This window comes from Homo sapiens, chromosome 8, assembly GCF_000001405.40.
Source record: "Homo sapiens chromosome 8, GRCh38.p14 Primary Assembly".
NCBI lineage: Eukaryota > Metazoa > Chordata > Mammalia > Primates > Hominidae > Homo > Homo sapiens.
Window position 1 is genome coordinate 23,369,356 of NC_000008.11, and position 27,176 is coordinate 23,396,531.

General features: G+C 44.4%; 1 protein-coding gene across 1 annotated transcript in view, besides 3 other annotated features; it reads right to left on the bottom strand.

Moving 5' to 3' along the window:
• Positions 1 to 27,176, bottom strand: part of LOXL2 (lysyl oxidase like 2) — a 107,224-nt gene that overhangs the window by 72,459 nt on the left and 7,589 nt on the right. The window lies entirely within an intron of this gene.
• Positions 9,764 to 10,356: an enhancer, noted in NCBI's record as "H3K4me1 hESC enhancer chr8:23236632-23237224 (GRCh37/hg19 assembly coordinates)". NCBI's record gives its function as "activates a minimal SCP1, AML or CMV promoter by ChIP-STARR-seq in primed H9 embryonic stem cells {active_cell/tissue: H9 hESC(primed)}" and the evidence as "EXISTENCE:reporter gene assay evidence [ECO:0000049][PMID:30033119]".
• Positions 10,357 to 10,947: an enhancer, noted in NCBI's record as "H3K4me1 hESC enhancer chr8:23237225-23237815 (GRCh37/hg19 assembly coordinates)". NCBI's record gives its function as "activates a minimal SCP1, AML or CMV promoter by ChIP-STARR-seq in primed H9 embryonic stem cells {active_cell/tissue: H9 hESC(primed)}" and the evidence as "EXISTENCE:reporter gene assay evidence [ECO:0000049][PMID:30033119]".
• Positions 12,241 to 12,535: a silencer, noted in NCBI's record as "tiled region #9444; K562 Repressive non-DNase unmatched - State 20:ReprD". NCBI's record gives its function as "represses a minimal TATA promoter and a strong SV40 promoter by Sharpr-MPRA in K562 cells {active_cell/tissue: K562}" and the evidence as "EXISTENCE:reporter gene assay evidence [ECO:0000049][PMID:27701403]".

The window sequence follows — 27,176 nt, forward strand, 5'->3', positions numbered from 1 at the left end:
CGATTTTAAAAGGAGCACACGTGTGTCTTGTGGAGAAACATGCAGGGCCCCAAACCAGGATGAGCAGGTGGAAGCTTAGGTGGGGGCATAAGGTATTTTATTTTAACCCTATGCAGAGGAGTAGGCTAATCATATTCTTCTGGTCATGGCACACTACCTTTGAGGAAGGACTGGCTAACTTTCCTGTAGTCAGAGCTGTCCAGAGCTGCCCATGGAGGGATGATCTGCCTTGGAGTGAGGCAGTTCCATGTCTGTTGGGTGACCAGCAGTGCTCAGTGCCCCGAAGAGGATGCTGGGGTGGAGATGTTAGAGCCTGGGGGACAGTCAGAACTGAGGATTTTGGAAAGCTTTCTGATGTCACCGGAGAGCCAGCCATGCTCATCCTGTGACTAACAAACAAGGCCAGAAAGTGATGGAGGGTTCCTGTGATAGCTCCTGACCAACGGACCAACGCACAGCCTGACCCCCTAGTAGTGTGGCTCTGAAGGGAATCAGGGTCCTGGCCACTCATCATTCCCATCAAAGCACATCTGCATCCTCAAGCTTACCTATGCCTCACAAGAACCTTGGGGAGTAGAAGAGGCAGGTATTATTAGGATTCTTATTTTACAACAAAATCAAGAACCAGAGAGGGTTAGAGATTTTGCCAGAGTTGCACAGTTACTGCAAGCAAAGCCAGAATGGGTCACTCCCAATGTGCCATCCCATATAAAAAGTCCTGGTTCAGCTTGGATACAAAAGCCTTTATGTGTGGCACGTGCCTACCTTCCCTGCTTCGGTTCCCACGACGGTGTCTCCCTTCTCTCACCCCAGCCCTGCCCATGGCACACATCCCATCATATCAGCCTATACCAGCTTCAGCTTTTGACACCTAGAACAACGCGCCTCCATCCCCTCCCCTCCCCTCCAAATGGCACCTGGTGCAATCCTTCCTGTTCTTCACAGAGACCTTCCTAGGTCCTCCTATCAGATTGAATGTATTTCTGCTTCCCTTTGACATCACATTTTGCTGGTGCTTTACATTGTTGTCATGTCTGGCTCTGCCACCGGACCCTCAGGCCCAAGGGACAGAAACCACCTCTTTGTCATTTCTGCTCAGCAACACATCTGCCTCTGGATGTATCAGGCTACCTTGCAGTAGATAAAGCTACCTGCCAAGAACAACTAGAAAAGGAAGGTAAAATATTAAAAACATATGTTCGAAGACACGAGAAAGCTACCGAGGCACCAAGGACTGAAGGAACCAAGAATCCAGAGAGATGGGAAGGGCATTGAGGTGAGGCTCACTTTTGTCTCTGCTTTCCCCCGGAAGATACTCGCCAATTCCACGGCAGTGATCAACAGGCTGAGAAGCTAAGCAAAGCTGCAGGCAGCCTCCAGGGACTGGGGAGACCGGGAGTTCAGAACCTGCCAAGGACAAAGGGACCTGTTAAACAGCTCCAGGCTCTCAGATGCATTCCTGAAGAGCTGCACTCTAGAAGCCAGGGCATAGGAAGGTCTGACATTCCCATAAATGGAATCCCAAAGAAGAGGAGAGAAAGGATGTGCAGAGGAAATAATGGAAGAAATAATGGCCTAGAATTTTCCAGAATGACAAAAGACATCAAGCCCACACAGTATAGTTTACAAGGAAAACCACATCTGGGCACATCGAAATCCAACTGCAGAGAAGACAAGATAGAAAGAAAAATCTTAAACACAGGGTAGAGGAGCTGAGTTACCTTAGAAAGAGCAGCAGAAAGACTAACAGCTGGTCCCCTCAACACAAATAAGGAGACAAGACTTCAACAGCGCAACATTTTCAAAGGGCGGAAAAAAATAAGTCTGCCTAGAATCTGTGCCCAGTGAAGAGAACGAAGGTAAAATAAGGACATCCCAGATAAACAAAAGAGGAGCGAGTCTGTCACCAGAATACCCACAAGACGGAAATACTACAGGGAATTCTTCAGGCAAAAGGAAAAATCATCCCAGATGTCAGTAAGGAGGCGTAGGAAGGAATGAAGAGTATGAAGTAGGAAATGATGTAGGTAAATCTCAATGAAGATCGAGTGTGTAAAACAGGAAGAATGTCCTGTGGGGTTTAAAATACATGTATGATTAAAATGCATGGCAACTGGCTGGGTGCAGTGGCTCACGCCTGTAATCCCAGCACTTTGGGAGGCTGAGGCGGGCGGATCACAAGGTCAGGAGATCAAGCCCATCCCGGCTAACACGGTGAAACCCCGTCTCTACTAAAAATACAAAAAATTAGCCGGGCATGGTGGCGGGCACCTGTAGTCCCAGCTACTCGGGAGGCTGAGGCAGGAGAATGGCGTGAACCCAGGAGGTGGAGGTTGCAGTGAGCCGAGGTCACGCCACTGCACTCCAGCCTGGGCGAAAGAGTGAGAGTCTGTCTCAAAAAAAAAAAAAAAAAAAAAAAAAAAAAAAAAATGCATGGCAAGCGCAGCACGAAAGGCAGGAAGGCATTAAATGGAGCTCAAGTGGTTTGAGGTTCTTGTGTTGTCTGGGAAGTGGTAAAAGTACTATTGTCTATTAGACTTTAGCAAGTCTAATAAATGCATGTTGTAATCTTTATAGGAATCATTGTAAGAACCATATACTGAAAGAAAAGTACAACTAACAGGTTAATAAGGGGGTTTGGGGGAGAAATGGTAGAATTAAAAAATACTTGATTAATCCAAAATTGAAGCAATAAAACAAATAAAAAGTAACATAAAACAATTGTTACAAATAGAAAAAATATTAGATGGTGGGTTTAAACTCCAATATATCAGTAATTACATTAGATAAAATAAATACTCCAATTAAAAGACAAAGATCATCAGAACGAATATAACAAAACAATTCAGCTTTACATTTCTTTTTCTTTTTTTTTTTTGAGATGGAGTCTTGCTCTGTTGCCCAGGCTGGAGTGTGCAGTGGCGCGATCTCAGCTCACTGCAACCACTGCCTCCTGGGTTCAAGCGATTCTCCTGCCTTAGCCCCTCGAGTAGCTGGGATTCCAGGCATGTACCACCACGCCTGGCCAATTTTTGTATTTTGAGTAGAGATGGGGTTTCACCATGTTGGCCAGGCTGGTCTCAAACCCCTGACCTCAAGTGATCCATCCGCCTCAGCCTCCCAAAGTGCTGGGATTACAGGTGTGAGCCACCACGCCCAGCCCAATCCAGCTTTATATTTCTTAGAAGAGACACAGAGGCTTAATGTAAAAGGATGGAAACAGATATACCATGCGTACATTAACCAGAGGGAAACTTGTACGATCAAGCTGACCTTAACACAAGAAACATTACCAGAGACAAAAAGGGACAGTTTACGATAATGAAAGTCAATCCACCAGGATAATGTAACTCTTCTAAACGTACGTGCATAGCTTCAATATATATAAAAGAAATATTGATAGAACTAAAAGGAAAAAATAGACAAATTCATAATCAGAGTGGGAGATTTTTACACACCTCTGTCAGTAACGGATAGAAGACACAGAAAAATCCTGGGGTTGAAGATGTGAATGACATAATTAACAAACTTAACCTAATTCACAAGTTTCTATAAACTGTACTCAGCAACTGCAGAAGGCAGCTATGCTCCAGGGACACATGGAACATATAATGATACAAACATATTAAGATATTAAGATACAATGATATTATGCAGAATATGTTGTTTGACTACAACAGAATTCAGCTATAAACCATTAATAAAAGAACAAGTAGAAAATCCCCAAATATTTGGGAATGTTGGATGAGGAAATCTATTATCATGCATCTCCATCCAGCTCACAGTACTAAATTGATTTATTCATTCAACAAGAATTCATTGAGCTCCTACTATACCTCAGGCCCTGCTGGGAGTAGAGGTCTTCTTTCCCATGGAGCTGACTGCCTAGCTGGAGTTCGCCTACAAGGTATCAATGATTGTTCATGGTCTGAACTACCTGAGCCAGCGGAGGGGGGGCCTAACTTTGAATTCAGGAAGGTTTTCCTCTTCTACACTGCCTGGCAGGGTCTTGCCGTGTCACCCAGGCTGAAGTGCAGTGGCGTGATCATAGCTCACCGCAGCCTCGAACTCTTGAGCCCAAGAGATCCTCCTACTCAGCTGCCCGTGTAGCTGGAACTACAGGCAAGAGCCACCATGCCTAGCTAAGTTTTTGGGTTGCTTTTTAATTTTTAAATGTATCCATCTTGTGGAAATTAAAGACAGAAAGCCAATGAATTGCCAAAGGTCACACAGAGTGCTTGGCAAGCAGCTAACATTAATAGAGCACCCCCATGTGCAGGCACTGTTCTCAACGCTCTAGTGTTTTAATTCACTTGATGTGGTAGGCACTGTTATTATCCTTGGGAGGAAACTGAGGGACAGAGAAGTTTGATAACTTGCCTAAAGTTGCGCAGACGGTAAATGCAAGCCAGGATCTGAAGGTGGTGGCAGGCTGACCTGGGCTCTGTCCCCCACCGCGAAGCTCTACTACCCCCAGCCTGGCACTGTCTCTCTCCCTCCCCTGACTTTCCCACCCCCATCCCCCAAGGGCTTCAGAGACTTCCAGATCCTCTAATCCTGTCCCAGAAAGAAATGAAAAAAATATGTGGTCTTGCAACATTTCTTTTTTTATACTGTAAGTTCTAGGGTACATGTGCACAACATGCAGGTTTGTTACATATGTATACATGTGCCATGTTGGTGTGCTGCACCCGTTTACTCGTCATTTACATTGGGTATATCTCCTAATGCTTTCCCTCCCCCCTCCCCCCACCCCACAACAGGCCCCGGTGTGTGATGTTCCCCTTCCTGTGTCCAAGTGTTCTCATTGTTCAATTCCCACCTATGAGTGACAACATGTGGTGTTTGGTTTTTTGTTCTTGCAATAGTTTGCTGAGAATGATGGTTTCCAGCTTCATCCATGTCCCTAAAAAGGACATGAACTCATCCTTTTTTATGGCTGCATAGTATTCCATGGTGTATATGTGCCACATTTTCTTAATCCAGTCTATCTTTGATGAACATTTGGGTTGGTTCCAAGTCTTTGCTATTGTGAATAGTGCCGCAATAAACATATGTGTGCATGCGCCTTTACAGCAGCCTGATTTATAATCCTTTGGGTATATACCCAGTAATGGGATGGCTGGGTCAAATGGTATTTCTAGTTCTAGATCCTTGAGGAATCGCCACACTGTCTTCCACAATGGTTGAACTAGTTTACAGTCCCACCAACAGTGTAAAAGTGTTCCTATCTCTCCACATCCTCTCCAGCACCTGTTGTTTCCTGACTTTTGAATGATTGCCATTCTAACTGGTGTGAGATGGTATCTCATTGTGGTTTTGATTTGCATTTCTCTGATGGCCAGTAATGATGAGCATTTATTCATGTGTCTGTTGGCTGCATAAATGTCTTCTTTTGAGAAGTGTCTGTTCATATCCTTCACCTACTTTTTGATGGGATTGTTTTTATTTTCTTGTAAATTTGAGTTCTTTGTAGATTCTGGATATTAGCCCTTTGTCAGATGAGTAGATTGCAAAAATTTTCTCCCATTTTGTAGGTTGCCTGTTCACTCTGATGGTAGTTTCTTTTGCTGTGCAGAAGCTCTTTAGTTTAATTAGATCCCATTTGTTAATTTTGGCTTTTGTTGCCATTGCTTTTGGAGTTTTAGACATGAAGTCCTTGCTCATGCCTGTGTCCTGAATGGTACTGCCTAGGTTTTCTTCTAGGGTTTTTATGGTTTTAGGTCTAACATTTAAGTCTTTAATCCATCTTGAATTAATTTTTGTATAAGGTGTAACGAAGGGATCCAGTTTCAGCTTTCTACATATGGCTAGCCAGTTTTCCCAGCACCATTTATTAAATAGGGAATCCTTTCCCCATTTCTTGTTTTTGTCAGGTTTGTTAAAGATCGGATGGTTGTAGATGTATGGTATTATTTCTGAGGGCTCTGTTCTGTTCCACTGGTCTATATCTCTGTTTTGGTACCAGTACCATGCTGTTTTGGTTACTGTAGCCTTGTAGTATAGTTTGAAGTCAGGTAGCTTGATGCCTCCAGCTTTGTTCTTTTGGCTTAGGATTGACTTGGCAATGCAGGCTCTTTTTTGGTTCCATATGAACTTTAAAGTAGTTTTTTCCAATTCTGTGAAGAAAGTCATTGGTAGCTTGATGGGGATGGCATTGAATCTATAAATTACCTTGGGCAGTATGGCCATTTTCACGTTATTGATTCTTCCTATCCATGAGCATGGAATGTTCTTCCATTTGTTTGTATCCTCTTTTATTTCCTTGAGCAGTGGTTTGTAGTTCTCCTTGAAGAGGTCCTTTACATCCCTTGCAAGATGGATTACTAGGTATTTTATTCTCTTTGAAGCAATTGTGAATGGGAGTTCACTCATGATTTGGCTCTCTGTTATTGGTGTGTAAGAATGCTTGTGATATTTGCACACTGATTTTGTATCCTGAGACTTTGCTGAAGTTGCTTATCAGCTTAAGGAGATTTTGGGCTGAGACGATGGGGTTTTCTAAATATAAAATCATGTCACCTGCAAACAGGGATAATTTGACTTCCTTTTTTCCTAATTGAATACCCTTTATTTTTTTCTCCTGCCTGATTGCCCTGGCCAGAACTTCCAACACTATGTTGAATAGGAGTGGTGAGAGAGGGCATCCCTGTCTTGTGCCAGTTTTCAAAGGGAATGCTTCCAGTTTTTGCCCATTCAATATGATATGGGCTGTGGGTTTGTCATGAATAGCTCTTATTATTTTAAGATACGTCTAATCGATACCTAATTTATTGAGAATTTTTAGCATGAAGGGCTGTTGAATTTTGTCAAAGGCCTTTTCTGCTTCTATTGAGATAATCATGTGGTTTTTGTCTTTGGTTCTGTTTAGATGCTGGATTACGTTTACTGATTTGCATATGTTGAACCAGCCTTGCATCCCAGGGATGAAGCCCACTTGATCATGGTGGATAAGCTTTTTGATGTGCTGCTGGGTTCAGTTTGTCAGTATTTTATTGAGGATTTTTGCATCGATATTCATCAGGGATATTGGTCTAAAATTCTCTTTTTTTGTTGTGTCTCTGCCAGGCTTTGGTATCAGGATGATGCTGGCCTCATAAAATGAGTTAGGGAGGATTCCCTCTTTTTCTATTGATTGGAATAGTTTCAGAAGGAATGGTACCAGCTCCTCCTTGTACCTCTGGTAGAATTCGGCTGCGAATCTGTCTGGTCCTGGCCTTTTTTTGGTTGGTAGGCTATTAATTATTGCCTCAATTTCAGAGCCTGTTATTGGTCTATTCAGGGATTCAACTTCTTCCTGGTTTAGTCTTGGGAGAGTGTATGTGTCCAGGAATTTATCCATTTCTTCTAGATTTTCTAGTTTATTTGCATAGAGGTGTTTATAGTATTCTCTGATGGTTGTTTGTATTTCTGTGGGATCAGTGGCGATATCCCCTTTATCATTTTTTATTGCATTTGTTTGATTCTTCTCTCTTTTCTTCTTTATTAGTCTTGCTAGCAGTCTATCAATTTTGTTGATCTTTTCAAAAAACCAGCTCCTGGATTCATTGATTTTTTGAAGGGTTTTTTGTGTCTCTATCTCCTTCAGTTCTGCTCTGATCTTAGTTATTTCTTGCCTTCTGCTAGCTTTTGAATGTGTTTCCTCTTGCTTCTCTAGTTCTTTTAATTGTGATGTTAGGGTGTCAATTTTAGATCTTTCCTGCTTTCTCTTGTGGGCATTTAGTGCTATAAATTTCCCTCTACACACTGCTTTAAATGTGTACCAGAGATTCTGGTATGTTGTGTCTTTGTTCTCATTGGTTTCAAAGAACATCTTTATTTCTGCCTTCATTTTGTTATGTACCCAGTAGTCATTCAGGAGCAGGTTGTTCAGTTTCCATGTAGTTGAGCAGTTTTGAGTGGGTTTCTTAATCCTGAGTTCTAGTTTGATTGCACTGTGGTCTGAGAGACAGTTTGTTATAATTTCTGTTCTTTCACATTCACTGAGGAGTGCTTTACTTCCAACTATGTGGTCAATTTTGGAATAAGTGCGATGTGGTGCTGAGAAGAATGTATATTCTGTTGATTTGGGATGGAGAGTTCTGTAGATGTCTATTAGGTCCGCTTGGTGCAGAGCTGAGTTCAATCCTGGATATCCTTGTTAACTTTCTGTCTCACTGATCTGTCTAATGTTGACAGTGGGGTGTTAAAGTCTCCCATTATTATTGTGTGGGAGTCTAAGTCTCTTTGTAGATCTTTAAGGACTTGCTTTATGAATCTGGGTGCTCCTGCATTGGGTGCATATACATTTAAGATAGTTAGCTCTTCTTGTTGAATTGATCCCTTTACCATTATGTAATGGCCTTCTTTATCTCTTTTGATCTTTGTTGGTTTAAAGTCTGTTTTATCAGAGACTAGGATTGCAACCCCTGCCTTTTTTTGTTTTCCATTTGCTTGGTAGATTTTCCTCCATCCCTTTATTGTGAGCCTATGTGTGTCTCTGCACGTGAGATGGGTCTCCTGAATACAGCACACTGATGGGTCTTGACTCTTTATCCAATTTGCCAGTCTGTGTCTTTTAATTGGAGCATTTAGCCCATTTACATTTAAGGTTAATATTGTTACGTGTAAATTTGATCCTGTCATTATAATGTTAGCTGGTTATTTTGCTCATTAGTTGATGTAGTTTCTTCCTAGCATCAATGGTCTTTACAATTTGGCATGTTTTTGAAGTGGCTGGTACTGGTTGTTCCTTTCCATGTTTAGTGCTTCCTTCAGGAGCTCTTGTAGGGCAGGCCTGGTGGTGACACAATCTCTCAGCATTTGCTTGTCTGTAAAGGATTTTATTTCTCCTTCACTTATGAAGCTTAGTTTGGCTGGATATGAAATTCTGGGTTGAAAATTCTTTTCTTTAAGAATGTTGAATATTGGCCCCCACTCTCTTCTGGTTTGTAGAGTTTCTGCTGAGAGATCTGCTGCTAGTCTGATGGGTTTCCTTTTGTGGGTAACCTGACCTTTCTCTCTGGCTGTCCTTAACATTTTTTCCTTCATTTCAACTTTGGTGAATCTGACAATTATGTGTCTTGGAGTTGCTCTTCTCCAGGAGTATCTTTGTGGCATTCTCTGTATTTCCCGAATTTGAACGTTGGCCTGCCCTGCTAGGTTGGGGAAGTTCTCCTGGATAATATCCTGCAGAGTGTTTTCCAACTTGGTTCCATTCTCCCCGTCACTTTCAGGTACACCAATCAGATGTAGCTTTGGTCTTTTCACATAGTCCCATATTTCTTGGAGGCTTTGTTCGTTTCTTTTTACTCTTTTTTCTCTAAACTTCTCTTCTCGCTTCATTTCATTCATTTGATCTTCAATCACTGATACCCTTTCTTCTGGTTGATCGAAACGGCTACTGAAGCTTGTGCATTCGTCACGTAGTTCTCGTGCCATGGTTTTCAGCTCCATCAGGTCATTTAAGGACTTCTCTACACTGGTTATTCTAGTTAGCCATTCATCTAATCTTTTTTCAAGGTTTTTAGCTTATGTTGGGTTTGAAATTCCTCCTTTAGCTTGGAGTAGTTTGATCGTCTGAAGCCTTCTTCTCTCAACTTGTCAGTCATTCTCTGTCCAGCTTTGTTCCATTGCTGGCGAGGAGCTGTGTTCCTTTGGAGGGGGAGAGGTGCTCTGGTTTTTAGAATTTTCAGCTTTTCTGCTCTGTTTTTTCCCCATCTTTGTGGTTTTATCTACCTTCGGTCCTTGATGATGGTGACATACAGATGGGGTTTTGTGGTGTGGTTGACTTTTATGTTTGTTAGTTTTCCTTCTAACAGTCAGGACCCTCAGCTGCAGGTCTGTTGGAGTTTGCTGGAGGTCCACTCCAGACCCTGTTTGCCTGGGTATCAGCAGCAGAGGCTGCAGAACAGCGAATATTGCTGAACAGCAAATGTTCCTGCCTGATTGTTCCTCTGGAAGCTTCGTCTCAGAGGGGTACCCAGCCGTGTGAGGTGTCAATCTGCCCCTACTGGGGGGTGCCTCCCAGTTAGGCTACTCGGGGGTCAGGGACCCACTTGAGGAGGCAGTCTTCCTGTTCTCAGATCTCAAACTCCATGCTGGGAGAACCACTACTCTCTTCAAAGCTGTCAGACAGGGACATTTATGTCTGCTGAGGTTTCTGCTGCCTTTTGTTCGGCCATGCCCTGCCCCCAGAGGTGGAGTCTACAGAGGCAGGCAGGCTTCCTTGAGCTGCGGTGGGCTGCACCCAGTTCGAGCTTCCCAGTCCCTTTGTTTACCTACTCAAGCCTCAGCAATGGCGGGCGCCCCTCCCCCAGCCGCCTTGCTGCCTCCTTGCAGTTCGATCTCAGACTGCTGTGCTAGCAATGAGTGAGGCTCCGTGGGCGTGGGACCCCCCGAGCCAGGCATGGGATATAATCTGCTGGTGTGCTGTTTGCTAAGACCATTGGAAAAGTGCAGTATTAGGGTGGGAGTGACATGATTTTCCAGGTGCCATCTGTCAGCCCTTCCCTTTACTAGGAAAGGGAATTCCCTGAACCCTTGCGCTTCCTGGGTGAGGGGATGCCTCGCCTTGCTTCGGCTCACACTCTGCGGGCTGCACCCACTGTCCTGACCCCACTGTCCTACGAGCCCCAGTGAGATGAACCAAGTACCTCAGTTGGAAATGCAGAAATCACCCATCTTCTGCGTTGCTCACGCTGGCAGACGTAGACTGAAGCTGTTCCTATTTGGCCATCTTGGAATTGCCCCCTCGCAACGTTTTAAAAGACATCTTAGGCCAGGCGTGCTGGCTTACGCCTGTAATCCCAGCACTTTGGGAGGACAAGGCAGGCGGATCACGAGGTCAAGAGATCGAGACCATCCTGGCCAACATGGTGAAACTCCATCTCTACTAAAAATACAAAAATTAGCTGGGCATGGTGGCGTGTGCCTATAGTCCCAGCTACTCAGGAGGCTGAGGCAGGAGAATTGCTTGAACCCAGGAGGCGGAGGTTGCAGTGAGGTGAGATCATGCCACTGCACTCCAGCCTCGTGACAGAGCGAGACTCCGTCTCAAAAAAAAAAAAAAAAAAAAGACATCTTAATCTGTGGATTTGTATATCTGTAAACTGCTCTACCCATTTTCCTGGATTATCCAATCTGTGGGAATGCTTTAGTGTTCAACTCCTAAATCTTTTCTAGAACAGCGCTCCTGAATTTTTTGCCTCTTTTGTAGGGCCCTCTCCTACTCCCTCCTCTGGGGGATTGTAACATATTAAACCCAGCTGCTTTTCTCTTCTTTTAAAAATTACTCTTAAAGTTTTTTTTTGTTGTTGTTGTTCTTTATAGTGAAAGTTACACAAGCTGGTGAAAAAAAATCTGGAAAACACAAACAAGTGAAAGGAAGAAAATAAGGGCTGGGCACAGTGGTTCAAGCCTGTAATCCCAGCATTTTGGGAGGCTAAGGTGGCCAATCGCTTGAGGTCAGGAGTTAAAGACCAGCCTGGACAACATGACAAAACCCTGTCTCTACTAAAAATACAAAAATTATCTGGGCATGGTGGCAAGCGCCTGTAATCCCAGCTACTAGGGAGGCTGAGGCAAAATAATTGCTTGAACCTGGGAGGCGGAGGTTGCAGTGAGCCGAGATTGTGATACTGTACTCCAAACAGAGAGAGACTCTGTCTCAGAAAAATAAAACAAAAGGAAGAAAATAACTTGTAATACCACTGGGGGGCGGGTAACCATGATCAAAACTGTGTTGTAAACCTCTCCAGTCTTTTTTTTTTTTGTACACATTTCCTTTTAAAAATTGGAATCATTTTCTACGTATTGCTTTGTAAACTGCTTTTCACATTGAACAGCATATTGCAAACATTATGCTTTATGGAACATTCTTTCATAAGATTTTTATAACATAGTATTCAATCTTATGGATACATAATAATCAAGTTTCTAAATTTCTTACTGCTGTAAACATTGTTGTAGCTGAAACTTGGCACAATCTTGGTATAAATTCCTAAAAGTGAAATTGCTGGGCCAAAGGGTTTGTACAAAATCAACACTTTTGCAAAACTATATGAACCACCTTCCAGAAAGACTGTGCCAATTGAAACCTCCACCAGCAGTATGTAGGTTTCCCCCAAACCTCAAAAACTCTGGCTATGACCATGTTTTCAAACTTTCCTCCATCTGATAAGCAAAAAAGGGTATTTTGTTTTAACAAGCATTCTTTTTATTACTAAGGAGGTGGAGCTTTTTCTCTCCCTTGCCCCGTGCTTACTGGCCACCTGTATTTCTTTTTTGGAGATTATGTCTCCCTGCCTTATACCCCTTTTTCTACTGAGCTTTTCCCTTGTTGCTTTGTAAGATTCATTTTTCACATTGGTATCCTTCCAACCTCAGGGAGGAAACACTGCCAGGCTTTCTGGGTGACCGCGCTGCCTCCTGCAGGTCAGGATGGGGACGGCGAGGCCATGCCAGGCTCCATGGGCACCAATGTTGTCCCCTCTCTCTGCTTACATTGCTCACACGTAACTGGGTGTTATAGGTGAATGGGCACCTGACTGGGCCCCCAAGCCTAACACAGTGCCTGGTGCACGTTAGCTGCTTAATCAAAATGGGTTGGATAATAACAGGAGATGCATGGCTCGGAGTAGACCCCTCATTCTGGGAAAGACAGCAGAGGGGACCAGGCAAACCACAGCCTTGCTGATGATGCTGGAGACAGCCACAGTGTCATTTATAAACAACTGAGAGCTCACAAAGGAGCTGGAATGAGCACAGGCAGAAGTTCTGAAATTATAGTTCGGTTGCCATAATGAGTGGGCTCCATTACACCCAGAAAACCATGTCCCCTTTTTCAGTTTTTATCTCTGTGAAGTAGACACATTCTGACCTGTGATAAAATGCAATCAGCGGCCAGGCACAGTGGCTCACACCTGTAATCCCAGCACTTTGGGAGGCTGAGGCGGGCAGATCACGACGTCAGGAGTTCAAGACCAGCCTGACCAACATGGTGAAACCCCACCTCTACTAAAATTACAAAAATTATCCGGGCATGGTGGCACATGCCTGTAGTCCCAGTTACTCAGGAGGCTTGAGGCAGGAGAATCGCTTGAACCCGGGAGGCAAAGCTTGCAGTCAGCCAAGATCGTGCCACTGTACTCCAGCCTGGGTGACAGAGCGAGACTCCATCTCAAAAAAAAAAAAAAAAAAAAGTGCAATCAGCGAATGAACACAGTGGCAAAGCAGAGGAGAAACTTTCTGACTTTATCCTCACTTTTTCCCAGGAGGTGGGAGCCCTATTCTGGGCCTTTATAGAACCACTGAAGTCCTAAAAGTCCTAGGTGAACAAGACTATTATTATGGGCTAAACTGTGTCTTTCTGCCCTGCTCTGGTCAGTCTGTCTAGGACCTGAATCCCTCTCTCTGGAAACCCTGCTCCAACATCAGTGGTCCTGGTCCTGATTCTGCTGCTAGAACTCCGTAATGCTTCCTGCCTGGATCTTTCAAGACTGTCTGATGATGCTCTTCTCTGGGGTGGACCATTCTCTCTACGTGCTGCATCTGTTGGAGGTGACTGTACCCGATTAGCATGGCTGAACCCACCCCAAACACCTGCTCCCACCCTCAATTCCATGTGTGTTTACTCTGGGCCCTGACTTCTCCAGGGCTGCTCCACCCACACCCAGCTGATCTGACCTGGTGGTCCTCTGGTACCTAACATGCCTCTCCGTAGCGGTTTTAAACAAACTCGACCCTATAAGCCTAGGTCAAAGGGCTAGTAGAGTGGGACCTGTGGCCTTCCCGTCTTCCATCGTGTGGGCCCTCTTGCCTCTCCACAACCCTCCTCCTTGAGGAACTTACTGGCGCCAGGGCTTCCCTAGAGAGGTGATGTTGGGTGTCTTGGAATCAGAACACGCTGTCTGAATCCTGCCTGCCCCACTTCCTAGCTATATTAAGAGCCTCAATTTCTTCTTCCAAATATAGAAATTACCTTATGGGTGTGTGTGTGTGTATGATGGTTAAATGAAATAATGTGAAGATCCCTAGCACACAGCATCGAATCAGTCATGTTAATTTGCTTCTTTCCTTCCTTTGAACCTAGAACCTGATTGTGGAGCTCTGTGCTTCATACTTAGTAAATATTGGCCGAGTGAATAAATATAAATTTCTATTCCAATATTCACATCCTATCAATACTACCTTTCCCTCTGACCTAATTACATTGGAATGCAAGCTAACAAATTCATTCCTTGTCATTTTTCATATTAAGACATTTAAGGCTTAAGGAATAGATTAGTTATTTCTAAGAGGGCACTTTTACGTTTTTTTTTTGTTTTTTTTTTTTTTTTTTTTTGAGACAGAGTCTTGCTCTGTCGTCCAGGCTGGAGTGCAGTGGCGCAATCTCGGCTCACTGCAAGCTCTGCCTCCCGGGTTCACGCCATTCTCCTGCCTCAGCCTCCCGAGTAGCTGGGACTACAGGCGCCCGCCACCACGCCCGGCTAATTTTTTGTATTTTTAGTAGAGACGGGGTTTCACCGTGTTAGCCAGGATGGTCTCGATCTGCTGACCTCGTGATCCACCCGCCTCGGCCTCCCAAAGTGCTGGGATTACAGGCGTGAGCCACCGTGCCCGGCCCGATGTGAATTTCTAGATATGAATTTTACCTATTGTGCAAGGCTAGAAGTAAGAACGTTAGGATTTTTCATGAGTAGTTGGACCTGACCCGTGCCCTTCAAAACAGCTCGCCTACATACCTGTTTGCCTCTGAAATTCACTTGTATAGTAAAGGCAGTAGGCAAATGTCGAGGTAATTTATGGGATACGAAGATCTGGGATCAGAAAATCTCACCCTAGCAGATAATCAAGGCTTATGTCTAGACAGGAATTATGGGTTATAAGGTTGGACCAAGGAGGTGCAGAGCAAGGCATGATCCCAGCGAAGCACAGCTGACTTCCAAGGCAACGTGCCAGCTCAGCTGCACACACCTGCTTGCCCTGAAGGAAATGAGCCTCTAAACACATGCTGGACATGGGTGCTCCAGAGGGGCTGTCAAGGCCTGAGGCAGTGAGCGTTGCTGACACAGAGGGGAGAACAGGCTACCTGCAGTTACTTCAGCAGAACCAACAGGGAACGGCAATTCCTCAAGTCTCACCTCCTCCTAGAAGTCCACTCAGCTTACTTCCAACAGTACCTGCAGCTGGTTCAGGAGGCTCGAGGAGTTGGACAGACTTCATTCCCTATCTGAGTCCATTTCCAAATAGATGTCTCAGGAAGGCAGAAGGAGGGAGTAACTTAAAAGGCTCCAGCGGCCGGGCGTGGTAGTTCATGCCTGTAATCTCAGCCCTTTGAAGGCCGAGGCGGGCGGATCACCTGAAGTCAGGAGTTCAAGACCAGCCTGGCCAATGTGGTGAAACCCCATTGCTACTAAAAATACAAAAATTAGCCGGGCATGGTGGCAGGTGCCTGTAATCCCAGCTACTTGGGAGGCTGAGGCAGGAGAATCGCTGGAACCCAGGAGGCAGAGGTTGCAGTGAGCCGAGATTACACCATTGTATTCCAGACGGAGTGAAACTCCGTCTCAAGAAAACAAACAAACAAAAAGCCTCCAGCTTTCCCAGCATTCAACATGGACAGTGAATTAGTGAATTAGAAGGTGCAAAGAGGCAATTTGCTGTAACCTTTGGGGTTCTGGTAATTTTATCGTGCAAAGACTGGAGGGAGCAATTCCACAGCAGTTTCCTTCAACTATGGATATAAAGACTTTCCTATTCTCTGCCTGTTTTATGTATTTATTTACCACTCCCTGCGCCCCCGTCCTGTTCGAACAGGATCACCTCTACTTTTATACAGCAACCTGGACACCACATGGGCTGGTGTTGAAGGTGGGCTTCTGTGGAAGAGAAAGTTGGATTTTTTTTCTTTTTTTTTTTTTTTTTGAGACAGAGCTTTTCACTCCTGTTGCCCAGGCTGGAGTGCAGTGGTGTGATCTCGGCCTACTGCAACCTCTGCGTCCCAGGTTCAAGCAATTCTCCTGCCTCAGCCTCCCAAGTAGCTGGGATTACAGGCACACACCACCACACCCAGCTAATTTTTTTTTTTTTTTTTGGTATTTTCAGTAGAGAAGGGGTTTCACCATGTTGGCTAGACTGGTCTTGAACTCCTGACCTTAAGTGATCCGCCCGGCTCAGCCTCCCAAAGTGCTGGGATTACAGGCATGAGCCACTACACCCAGCCAAAGTTGGATGTTTAAAAGTAAAACAGAACTTATATTTATTAATCATTAATCAGTATCAATCTGATTTTGATCAGTATCAATCAGCATGTGAGAAGTGCTAAGACAGGTATTTCATCCTCTCGTCTGGATGAGCACTGCCCAACAGAAACGTAATGAGAGCCACATATGAAATTTTAAATTCCCTCGTAGCCACTTTCCAAAAGTAGAATAAAATAGATGAAATCAATGTTAAAGATATATTTTATTTGATGCAATATATTTCAATATGGAATCAATACAAAAATTATTAATGAGATGTTTTGCGTTCTTTTTTCTTTTTGTACTAAGTCTTTGAAATCCAGCACGTACTTTGCGTTTGCAGCGCATCTCAATTCCAAGCAGCACATTGCAAGTGTTTGGTGGCCCCATATGGTGGTGGCTGCCATACTGCACAACACAGCTTTGGACAACCCCCTGAGCAAGGTATTATCAGCATCCCTATTTTCCTAAGGAAAAACCGAGAGACAGAAAGGCTACATGATTTTCCTATAGTCACACTGCTAAAAAGTGATCAAGCTGGAATTTGTAACCAGGCCAGCCAGATACCAGAGCAGACACCCTTATTCACTAATTGTTGAGGTCAGGAGTTCGAGACCAGCCTGGCTAACATGGTGAAATCCCATCTCTACTAAAAAATACAAAAATTAGCCGGGCGTGGTAGCACACACCTGTAATCCCAGCTGCTCAGGAGGCTGAGGCAGGAGACTTGCTTGAACCCTGAATGTGGAGGTTGCAGTGAGCTGAGCTCATGCCACTGCACTACAGCCTGGGCGACAGAGCAAGACTCCCTCTCCAAAAAAGAAAGAAAGAGAACAAAATATAAGTGCTCTGTGTCTCTTACGATGTCTTAGAATAAACAAATATGTAAGTTCTCCATCTACCCTTCCAGACATTTGAGGACATCTAGACTAATATGGCAGACACATTTCTCTTCTCCATACCTGTTCTATTAGTCCTTGCTCAGAGATCTTAATTTCACAAAAGAAATAAAAAAGCCTGGTGGAGATACCACAGTGGGGAGAGTTTTTAGAAAACAGGCAGATCTATTCTCAGCATTCACCTTGGAAGACCTCCAAGGGTGTCTCAACATTGACAGTCTAAGAAGCATCTGCTCCAGTGAAGTCACCTCAGTCCACATCATGGAAATTCCAGGACCCTCCTCTACGCTGAATGCAAGCAGAGAGCATCTGCCAACTGGGTCAGCAGAACATGGGAGAATCAGGCCAAGGATCTCCGTAGCTCCCTCCACACGCTCCAAATAAATGCGGCTTTCACAGGCACGCAAGGGTCCGCAAGGGGAAGGCCTCCCAAGGTGCTGGGATTGCAGGCATAAGTCAAGGTGAGAGGCCCACCTTGGAGAGTATCCTGTTCAAACCTAGTTTGAGTGAGGTCTGGGAGCTGCCGTGGCAGATGGCCTTAATTATTCACACAGTTGAGCCCAGGAGTGGGTCGTAATTAAAGGGACAAGGCAAGGTGCCGAAGGACTGAAGTCTCTGACTGACACAAATAAAAGCCAGAGACTGCCAGGAAAAGTTGGTTGTGCCTGGCTCTTCAGAAAGGGAGAAATTATCCCCCAATATGGTCTCACTGGGCTTTTGACTGCACGGCTGAGAACCCTCTTACATTCAATGCAGTCCATTCAAGGTTACAACATTCACACAGATGATTCTAGTATAAGCTTTGCCAACAAGAGGCACTGTGTCCTCGGGGGGTATCAGAGAGAGATCAGGAAAGAATTCCTTCACATTAGAGGGACTCGGGGATCGAGGTATTCCTTATAAACATCAGGTGGGATCAGCTTACCCTCCCCAGGGTCTCGGGCACCTCCCAATGCAGGGGCCCACTCAGACAGCCCACAGCACACCCTTCCAGGAAAAACAGGCGGGATGCTCTGCCACCTCTTTACTGACCATAAACGGCATGGACTAGCGGCTTAGTCATGCAGAATTTGGTTCAAATCTTATTTCTTAGCTTATTAGCTCTGTGACCTAGGCCCACTTAGATTTTTCTAAGTCTCAGGATTTCATCTACCAAATGGAAACAATATGTACTTAAAAACAACTTTTTAGGCCAGGCACGGTGGCTCATGCCTGTAATCCCAGCACTTTGGGAGGCTGAGGCAGGTGGATCACTGGAGGTCAGGAGTTCGAGACCAGCCTGGCCAACATGGTGAAACCCTATCTCTACCAAAAATACAAAAATTAGCTGGGCATAGTGGTGGGCACCTGTAATCCCAGCTACTTGGGAGACTGAGGCAGGAGAATCACTTGAACCCGGAAGGCAGAGGTTCAGTGAGCCGAGATCACGCCATTGCACTCCAGCCCGGGCGACAAGAGCGAGACTCTGTCTCAAACAAACAAACAAAAAAACTTTTTTAAGGAAAAATATGAAACATCTTTTCAGGCCTGTTGTAAAAATCAAAGATCATGCTTCTTAAGTTCCTAGACCATAGCAGGTGGCCAATAAAAATAGCAGCTAATATATCTTGGTTCAAACAGGTGCTGCCTGCTAGATTCGAGTCAGGTTATTCAGGCACCAACTACAGTTCTGAGTGATACTAAGCTGCATAATGCAGTTGCTTACATTTAATTTTGATCTTCAGCTTCCCCAGGTGTTATTTGGGGAACTGTGAGCTGCCAAGGCTGAGCCTAGGTAGTTCCTTCTGGATCCCGCACCTTGCAACAACTTAAAATTTAGAAATGGGCTGGGTGCTCATGCCTGTAATCCTGGCACTTTGGGAGGCCAAGGTGGGATGATTGCTTCAGCTCAGGGGTTTGAGACCAGCTTGAGCAACATAGGGAGATCCTGTCTCTACAAAAAAATTTTTTTTTTTAATTGGCTGGGCATGGTAGCAAATGCCTATTGTTCCAGCTACTTGGGAGGCTGAGGCAAGAGGATCACTTGAGCCCAGGAGGTTGAGGCTGCAGTGAGCAGTGACTGTGCCACTGCACTCCAGTCCAGCCTGGGCGACAGAGCTGGGACTTGTCTCCAAGAAAAACAAAAACAAAAAGCAAAAAATATACTCACACACACACACACACACACACACACACACACACACACACACACACTAGAAATGTACATTTACTCCAAAGAATATACAATATTAGCAAAAAGCTTAATTATCTAAATAAAAAGGTGTCTTCTCATATACTGTATACATTAGGTATGTGCAAAATTGTGCCAAGTCTGCAAGTAAAGCTTTTAAGGAGGGTAGGGGAAAAAAAGACTTTTAAGCAGGGCTTGTATCAGCCAGTGCTTGCTGATCTTGCTGAGAGCTGGGGAAGAGGGCTGGGTTGGAGGGAGAGAAAGAGGTTCAGAACCTTGAACTTACTCAAGGTTCTGAGTTGGTCATAAGCAGTACTGTTACAATTGTCCAACAAGCATCATTCATTGGAAGACATTGTTAGCCCTTGAAGCACCTGTCACCCTAAGAACTTTCTGCTACACTCCAGAATCCCTGATTTTTCTTATCCCAGTAGTAGTATTGTCCTGATAATGGATGAGTGTTTGAAAATCCTTCATGAAGCCTCACTTAATTTTGACCCAGCAGAGCTAACAGAGGAAAAGAAGAAAATGTAAAACTGGCCTTTCTAGGGTCCTTTTCTTAGTGTCCTTTTCTTAGGCTACTACCTTGATAGCTGAGTCAGTCTGCCTAGGAAGGAATGTGAAAGGCCTACTCCAAAAAACTCTCCAGTATCAAGATTTTTATTGAAGCTACTGAAATTTTTTTCTTCCTCCAAAAGCAATCCGTTTTGAATCATTTCATCATCCACCTAAAAAGGCATTCTGTGTTATAGAATTCACCTGCTTAATGGTACCTTCTGGAAAATCAAGGACAATTGGCTTCCTAGTTCATTCTTAAACACAGGAGAAACCCAGAACATGACCTCTGATCAATGACACTTGACCTTGTGGCACGCAGTCGAATAATGCCCCATGTGACTAACTGATTCCTAGTCAATAGCAACAATTGTTTTTATTGCCAATAGCAATAAAAATTCCTAGTCATGCACAGATAAAGGGGAAAACACATTGTAAAAATTATACAGTGTTTGGACATCATGCTTTTAGATTTTCAAGTGCCCTGACACAACCTGATCCTGATGTGATGCTCATAACTGTCCCCTTCCCTAATATGAGTATGTGGGGCATAGGACTCTCACAAAGCAGGCTTCAATGGGACCCCACTTTGCTTGCCTGGCCTCCGGCAGGCCCCCAGTAAATAGGGAAGTGATTCATTCCTCCCAGCACTGGCTCCACATCTTGTGCCCTGGAGCTCCCAGCAACAGTCCTGCCTGCCCCGGATTTGAAGCATCTCATAAACAACCTGGCAGTTCTCAGCCAGGAACAGTGCCCTACCCTGCCAAGGACACTTGCTTGCAACAGTGTGGCCCAGAGCTCGGCTGAATTTCTTCCTTCCAGACAGAATGTTCCGCTTGACATTTCTGCCAGATGCCTGCATTCACATTTGGGGTCAGGGGCTAGGGTGGGGTCTCTCTCCTCCATCAGACCCTCCCTGCCTGGGATTCCTGCTTGGACCAACAGGAGAGATGAATGGTCCTCATTCATGGCCCAGAGCACACTGTGGAGTGGCGATCTCAGCTGTGGTCTGGGGCTGCTTCTGGCCCCACGGGGAACACATTCCTTTGTGGAAACAGGCTGTCTTGGCTGAATGGGGTTTGCTCAGAGAATGAGGGAAGTGGCTCGGGGGCCATGGGACCCTTTAGAACCACCTTAGACAAGAATGGAGACTTTAACACCAGGCTTGGTCCGGGCTGTCTGATCCACTTGGCCCCTGGCCAAAGAGTCTACTTCAGTCTCGTCTATTTCTGGCCACAAAGTGGGAATGTTCAGGGCACAGTGAGATGGTGAGAAGGTAAGCATACAAAACTGCATTTTTTCCCCCAGCCTCCAAAAAGAGGTCTTTGTTGGCATAATTTGTTGTGACCAATGGGGGTTCCCCGCAGCCCACCGCTGGCTCTGGGTGGAATCTCATTCTGACCAGGCTGTTTCCTGGGAAGGCTGAAGGTACAGTTTCAAAGACTTTAAAATGTGCCTACCAGAGACTCTCAGATCGGATCAGAGTGCAAAAGCCAAATACATTAGTCTATAAGACACATCTCTTCTCTGCAGCTCATAAAGGGGCAGGGAAAATCCAAAATTGGTGATTTTGCTTAAAGGCAATTCAGAAAGTGATAGAGACAAGGATGCCTTATTAGTCTGTTTTCACACTACTGATAAAGACATACCTGAGATGGGGTAATTTATAAAGAAAAAGAGGTGTAATGGACTGACAGTTCCATGAGGCTGGGGAGGCCTCACAATCATGGTGGAAGGTGAAAGGTGAAAGGTGAAAGGTGAAAGGCACGTCTTACATGGCAGCAGACATGAGAGAATATGAGAGCCAAGCGAAAGGGGTCTCTCCTTATAAAACCATCAGCTCTTGTGAGACTTATTCACTACCACAAGAACAGTATGAGGGAAGTTGCCCCATGATTCAATTATCTCCCACTGGGTCCCTTCCACAACATGTGGGAATTATGGGAGCTACAATTTAAGATAAGATTTGGGTGCGGATACAGCCAAATCATATCAATGCCTGTTGGGTTCATATTACCCGATCCCTACAACCTTAACAAACAAACAACAACAAAACAAGAGACATGGTTTGACTATAAGATAACACATAACAATTGGAAAAACATGGCCAGCATCTGAGAGTGGTCTCAGATTCAAATCTGGCTTCTGCAAATGGGGAAGAGTTTTAGGTTCTTCACGGGCTACATCAGAAGTTAAAGTGCCCAGTATAGTGACTGGCTCAGTCACCACAATTATAAAATCAGCAACAATCTGGACAAAATCCAGGAGGCGTATCATCATTCCCATCAAGCACTCTTGGGTAACAGGCTTTAATCATCCTCCCCCACTACACACACACTCTCTCAGACACACTGTTTCTCAGAGCTAATAATCTATGGCCAAATCGGTCTGAGTTTCTGTGCCACTTTCAAGGCGATATTGAAGTCCACAAAAGGCAGGCAAGGGGAAGGTGAACAGAAGCCAAATCCAAAATGGCATGCAAGCTTGGTAGGAAATGAAATCACTGCAAGCAAGTCCAGGGATTATAGGGATGGGGCCCGTGGCATGAAAATTCCTGGAGGGGGAGTGCTGAGATTTGGCCTAGGCACAGACACTGAGGTCAGGAGGGGTTTGGGTGGTTGGAAATAAGATGAGTGTACTGGGTGAAAGATGGTGGGAATCCTGGGCTGGAGGGAGTACAAAACCAGTTTTTCTGAGATGACCCATCAAAAGTGGCCAGAGAGGCACCTTCTGAGCTCAGTCCCCAAGTGACATCCTCCCTATGCCCTTCCTGCTTAGCTTGTCACATGCCTCATGTGAGGCTCATGACAGCAGACCTCGCCCTTGGCTCTGTATACCTTTCGCATCTCCAGAAGCTGCCAGGCCAAGCTGTCATCCAAGCAATGCAACCTGGGCTAATAATCAATCCTTTAGGCCTGTGCTTGTCCTATGACAGCCAAACCCAGAGAACCCAGTGATGGCAGGGGCAGCTGGCACAGAGACCACAGCCACATTTTCAGCTTGTCTGGAAATTTCTGGCTCCATAAGGCAGTCAGGTAGGAGTGCTGGTCTGAAGTTCACTAAGAGCCCATGATCTGGATCCTGTCCAGAAGCCTAAGGAGCAATAGCAGCAGGCATCAAGTGTCACATCACTGAAGCTGGCCGGGCTTGGCTGCTACAATGCCAGCTGGTGCTGGGTCACCAGGGACCATTCATCAAGGTAATGTCATCCACAGGGTAGTGGCATATAGAGAGAGACCTGCAGGTCCTCGCTTTTACTGAGGGAGACAGACCTTGTCAGCTACTTGTGAAGCTGATCAGTTTCATTGGTGCTGATCACATGCCTCTTCTGGGCCTCTTTTTAAAGAATGATTCTAATAGTCTTACTCCATCTCCAGACTGGCATGGCTCCCACTACCAGTGACAGGATGTCTCCATCCTCTTTAGCATGACACAAACTAGCTTCAACCTGCTACCCTGAGCTTCAGCCATGCTGACCTGTGCACATGTGGTTCCAACTGCTTTTACACCCCCCTGCCCTTGGACTTGCCATTTCCTGTTCTAGAACATCACATATCCACTTCATGAACACCTACTCTTTAAGAATCGACTCACGTGTGTGTATAAAACATCCTAAGGAATCTGCTAAAAAACTATCAAAACCAGTAAATGAGTTCAGCAAGGTTACAGGATACAATATCAACATACAAAAATTAACTGTATTTCTATACAGTCACAATGAAAAATTCAAAATGAAATAAAGCAATCCCATTTACAATAGCATCAAAAATAATAAAATACTTGGGAGTAAATTTAACAAAAGAAATATAAACTTTATACCCTGAAAACTACAAAACATTGTTAAAAGAAATTAAAGACGATCTAAATAAATGGGAAAACATCCCATGTTCATGGACTGGAAGACTTAAATGGTTAAGATGAGAATACTCCTCAAATTGATCTACGAATTCAACACAATTTCTATCACAATCCCAGCTGACTTCTTTGCAGAAATTGACAAGCTGATTGATTCTAAAATTCCTGTGGAAGTGCAAGAGACCCAGATTAGCCAAAACAATTCTGAAAAGGAGAACGAAGTAAGAGGACTTATACTTCCTGTTTTCAAAACTTACTACAAAAGTCAAGGCAGTATGGTACTGGGATACGGAGAGACATATAGATCAATGAGATAAAACTGAGAGTCCAGAAATAAACTCATATATCTATGGTCAATTGGTTTGGACAAGGTCCCAAGACCATTCAATGGGGAAAGAATTGTCTTCAAAAAACAGTGCTGGAACAACTGAATAGCCACATGCAAAAGAATGAAGTTGGGGCCCGACCTCATAGCATTTACAAAAATAAATGAAAATGGATCAAAGACCTTAATGTAAAAGCTAAAACTGTAAAACCCTTAGAATAAAACATAGAGTACGTCTTCATGGATTTGGCAGTGATTTCTTAGACATTACACCAAAAGCACAAGAAACAAAAGGAAAATATACGTAAATTAAACTTTATCAAAATAAAAAAACTTCTGCACATCAAAAAAAAATGTTTTGAAGATGCTTTATGAACCAGGGCAGCAGTGGTGAGGGTGAGAAAAAAGGGTGATGACCAAATATTTATCGCACTTATTCTACTGTTTTGTCATTGTCTATTTGCATGTCTGTTTCTCTTTTAAGCTGGTGATCCCTCTAGAGGGTAAGCATCTGTAGCTTATACACTTCTGGATCCCCTGTGCTCAACACAGAATAGACGTTGAATAAATGTGATTTGAACTGGAAAGAAAACAGACACTGTCAAGAAAGGGAAAAGATAACCCACAGAATGGGAGAAAATATTTGTAAATCATATATCTGCAATGGTCTAGAATTCAGAATATGTAAAAATTGTTTATAATTTAACAATAAAAAGACAAGAAACCCAGGCTAGGCACGGTGGCTCATGCCTGTAATCCTAGCACTTTGGGAGGCCGAGGTGGGCGGATCACCTGAGGTCAGGAGTTCAAGACCAGCCTGGCCAACATGGTGAAACCTTGTCTCTACTAAAGATACAAAAATTAGTCAGATACGGTAGCGCGTGCCTGTAGTCCCAGCTACTCGGGAGGCTGAGGCAGGAGAATCGCTTGAACTCGGGAGGTGGAGGTTGCAATGAGCCGAGATCGTGCCACTGCACTATAGCCTAGGTGACAGAGTGAGACTCTGTCTCAGAGAAAAAAAAAAAAAAAAAAAGACAACCAACCCAATTAAAAATGGGCAAAAACTTAAATAGACACTTCCCCAAAGAAGATATACAAATGGCTTACAAGCACATAAAAAGGTGTGATACATCACTCGTCATCAAGCAAACACAAAGTACCATGAGATACCACTTCATACCCATAAAGGTGGCTGGAATTTTCTTAAGGGGAAAATAAAAAGTGTCCCCAAAGATGTGGAGAAATTAGAATCCTCATACGTTGCTAGTGGAAATGTAAAATACTACAGCCACTGTGAAAAACAATTTGGTGATTCCTCAAAAAGCTAAACATAGAATTACTATATGACCCAGCAACCCCCCTCCTAAGTATATACCCCCCCAAAATTGAAACACATTGAAACAGGTGTTCAAACAAAACTTTTACATGAATGTTCATAGCAGTATTATTCATAATACTCAAAGGGTGGAAACAACCCAAATGTCTGTCAACTATAAATGGATTAACAAAATACGGTATGCCCATACAATAGAATATTATTCGGCCATAAAAAGTAACGAGATACTGACACATGGTGAGGCTTAAAAACATTAGGGGAGCACCGTGGCTCCCGCCTGTAATCCCAGCACTTTGGGAGGCCAAGGTGGGCGGATCACGAGGTCAAGAGATCGAGACCATCCTGGCCAACATGGTGAAACCCCGTCTCTACTAAAAATACAAAAATTAGCTGGGTATTGTGGCGCACGCCTGTAGTTCCAGCTACTTGGGAGGATGAGGCAGGAGAATCGCTTGAACCTGGGAGACGGAGGTTGCAGTGAGCCGAGATGGCGCCACTGCACTCCAGCCTGGTGACAGAGCAAGATTCCGTCTCAAAACAAAACAAAACAAAGAAACAACAACAAAAAAACCATTAAGGGAAGTGAAAAAAGCCAGACCAAAAAAAAAAAAAAAAAACCACATATTATATGATTCTATTTACACAAATTATACAAAATTGGCAATATAGAGACAGAAACTAGATTAGTGGCTGTTTAAGGCTGGGAGGATAGGCGGTGGTGGCTAACGGATATGGACTTCTCTTTGTGTTGATGAAAACATTTTAAAGTTGACTGGGGTGATATTTGCACATATCTGTGAATATACTGAAATCCATTGACTTGTACATTTTAATGGGTGAATTGGATGATATGCAAATTATATCTCAATAAAGTCTTTTAAAAAAGAATCTACTTCGATGACACTTGAAAGTGTCATGCAGGCAGCCTGGGGGTGGTTGCCAGGCATCAAAATATTACTCTTGACTGAAGACTTTATTATTATTATTTTATTATTTTTGGAGGCAGAGTCTTACTCTGTCGCCCAGGCTGGAGCACAGTGGCACAATCCTGGCTCACCGTAACCTCCGCCTCAGCCTCCTGAGTAGCTGGGATTACAGGCGTGCACCACCATGACTGGCTAATTTTTGTAATTTTAGTAGAGATGGGGTTTTACCCTGTTGCCCAGGCTGGTCTCGAACTCCCGAGCTCAGGCAATCCCCCAACCTTGGCCTCCCAGAGTACTAGAATTACAGGTGTGAGCCACTGTGCCTGGCCTTATTTCTAAATACACACATAAACTCTTAGAGTCACTGATAAATCGTTCTACTTAAGAAGAGAGAGAAGTCTGGGCACGGTGGCTTACACCTGTAATTCCAGCACTTTGGGAGGCTGCGGCAGGATCCTGAGGTCGGGAGTTCGGGAGCAGCCTGACCAACATGGAGAAACCCTGTCTCTACTAAAAATACAAAATTAGCAGGGTGTGGTGGCACATGCCTGTAATCCCAGCTACTCGGGAGGCTGAGGCAAGAGAATCGCTTGAACCCAGGAGGTGGAGGTTGCGGTCAGCCAAATCGTGCCATTGCATTACAGCCTGGACAACAAGAGCAAAACTCAGTCTCAAAAACAAACAAACAAACAAACAAACAAACAAACAAAAAAACGAGAGAGAGATCAGGTGGGAAGGGAAGGAGGGAGGAAGGAAATGAGGAGGGCAGGCAGGATACGGCCAAAGAATGGGCTTAGACTTGTGCTCCAGCAGAAGCTGCCAGAAAGGCAGGAGTTCTCCAGGTGGATTTGAACCCTACAATGGCCAAGGGGCAGCCTGGAATGATC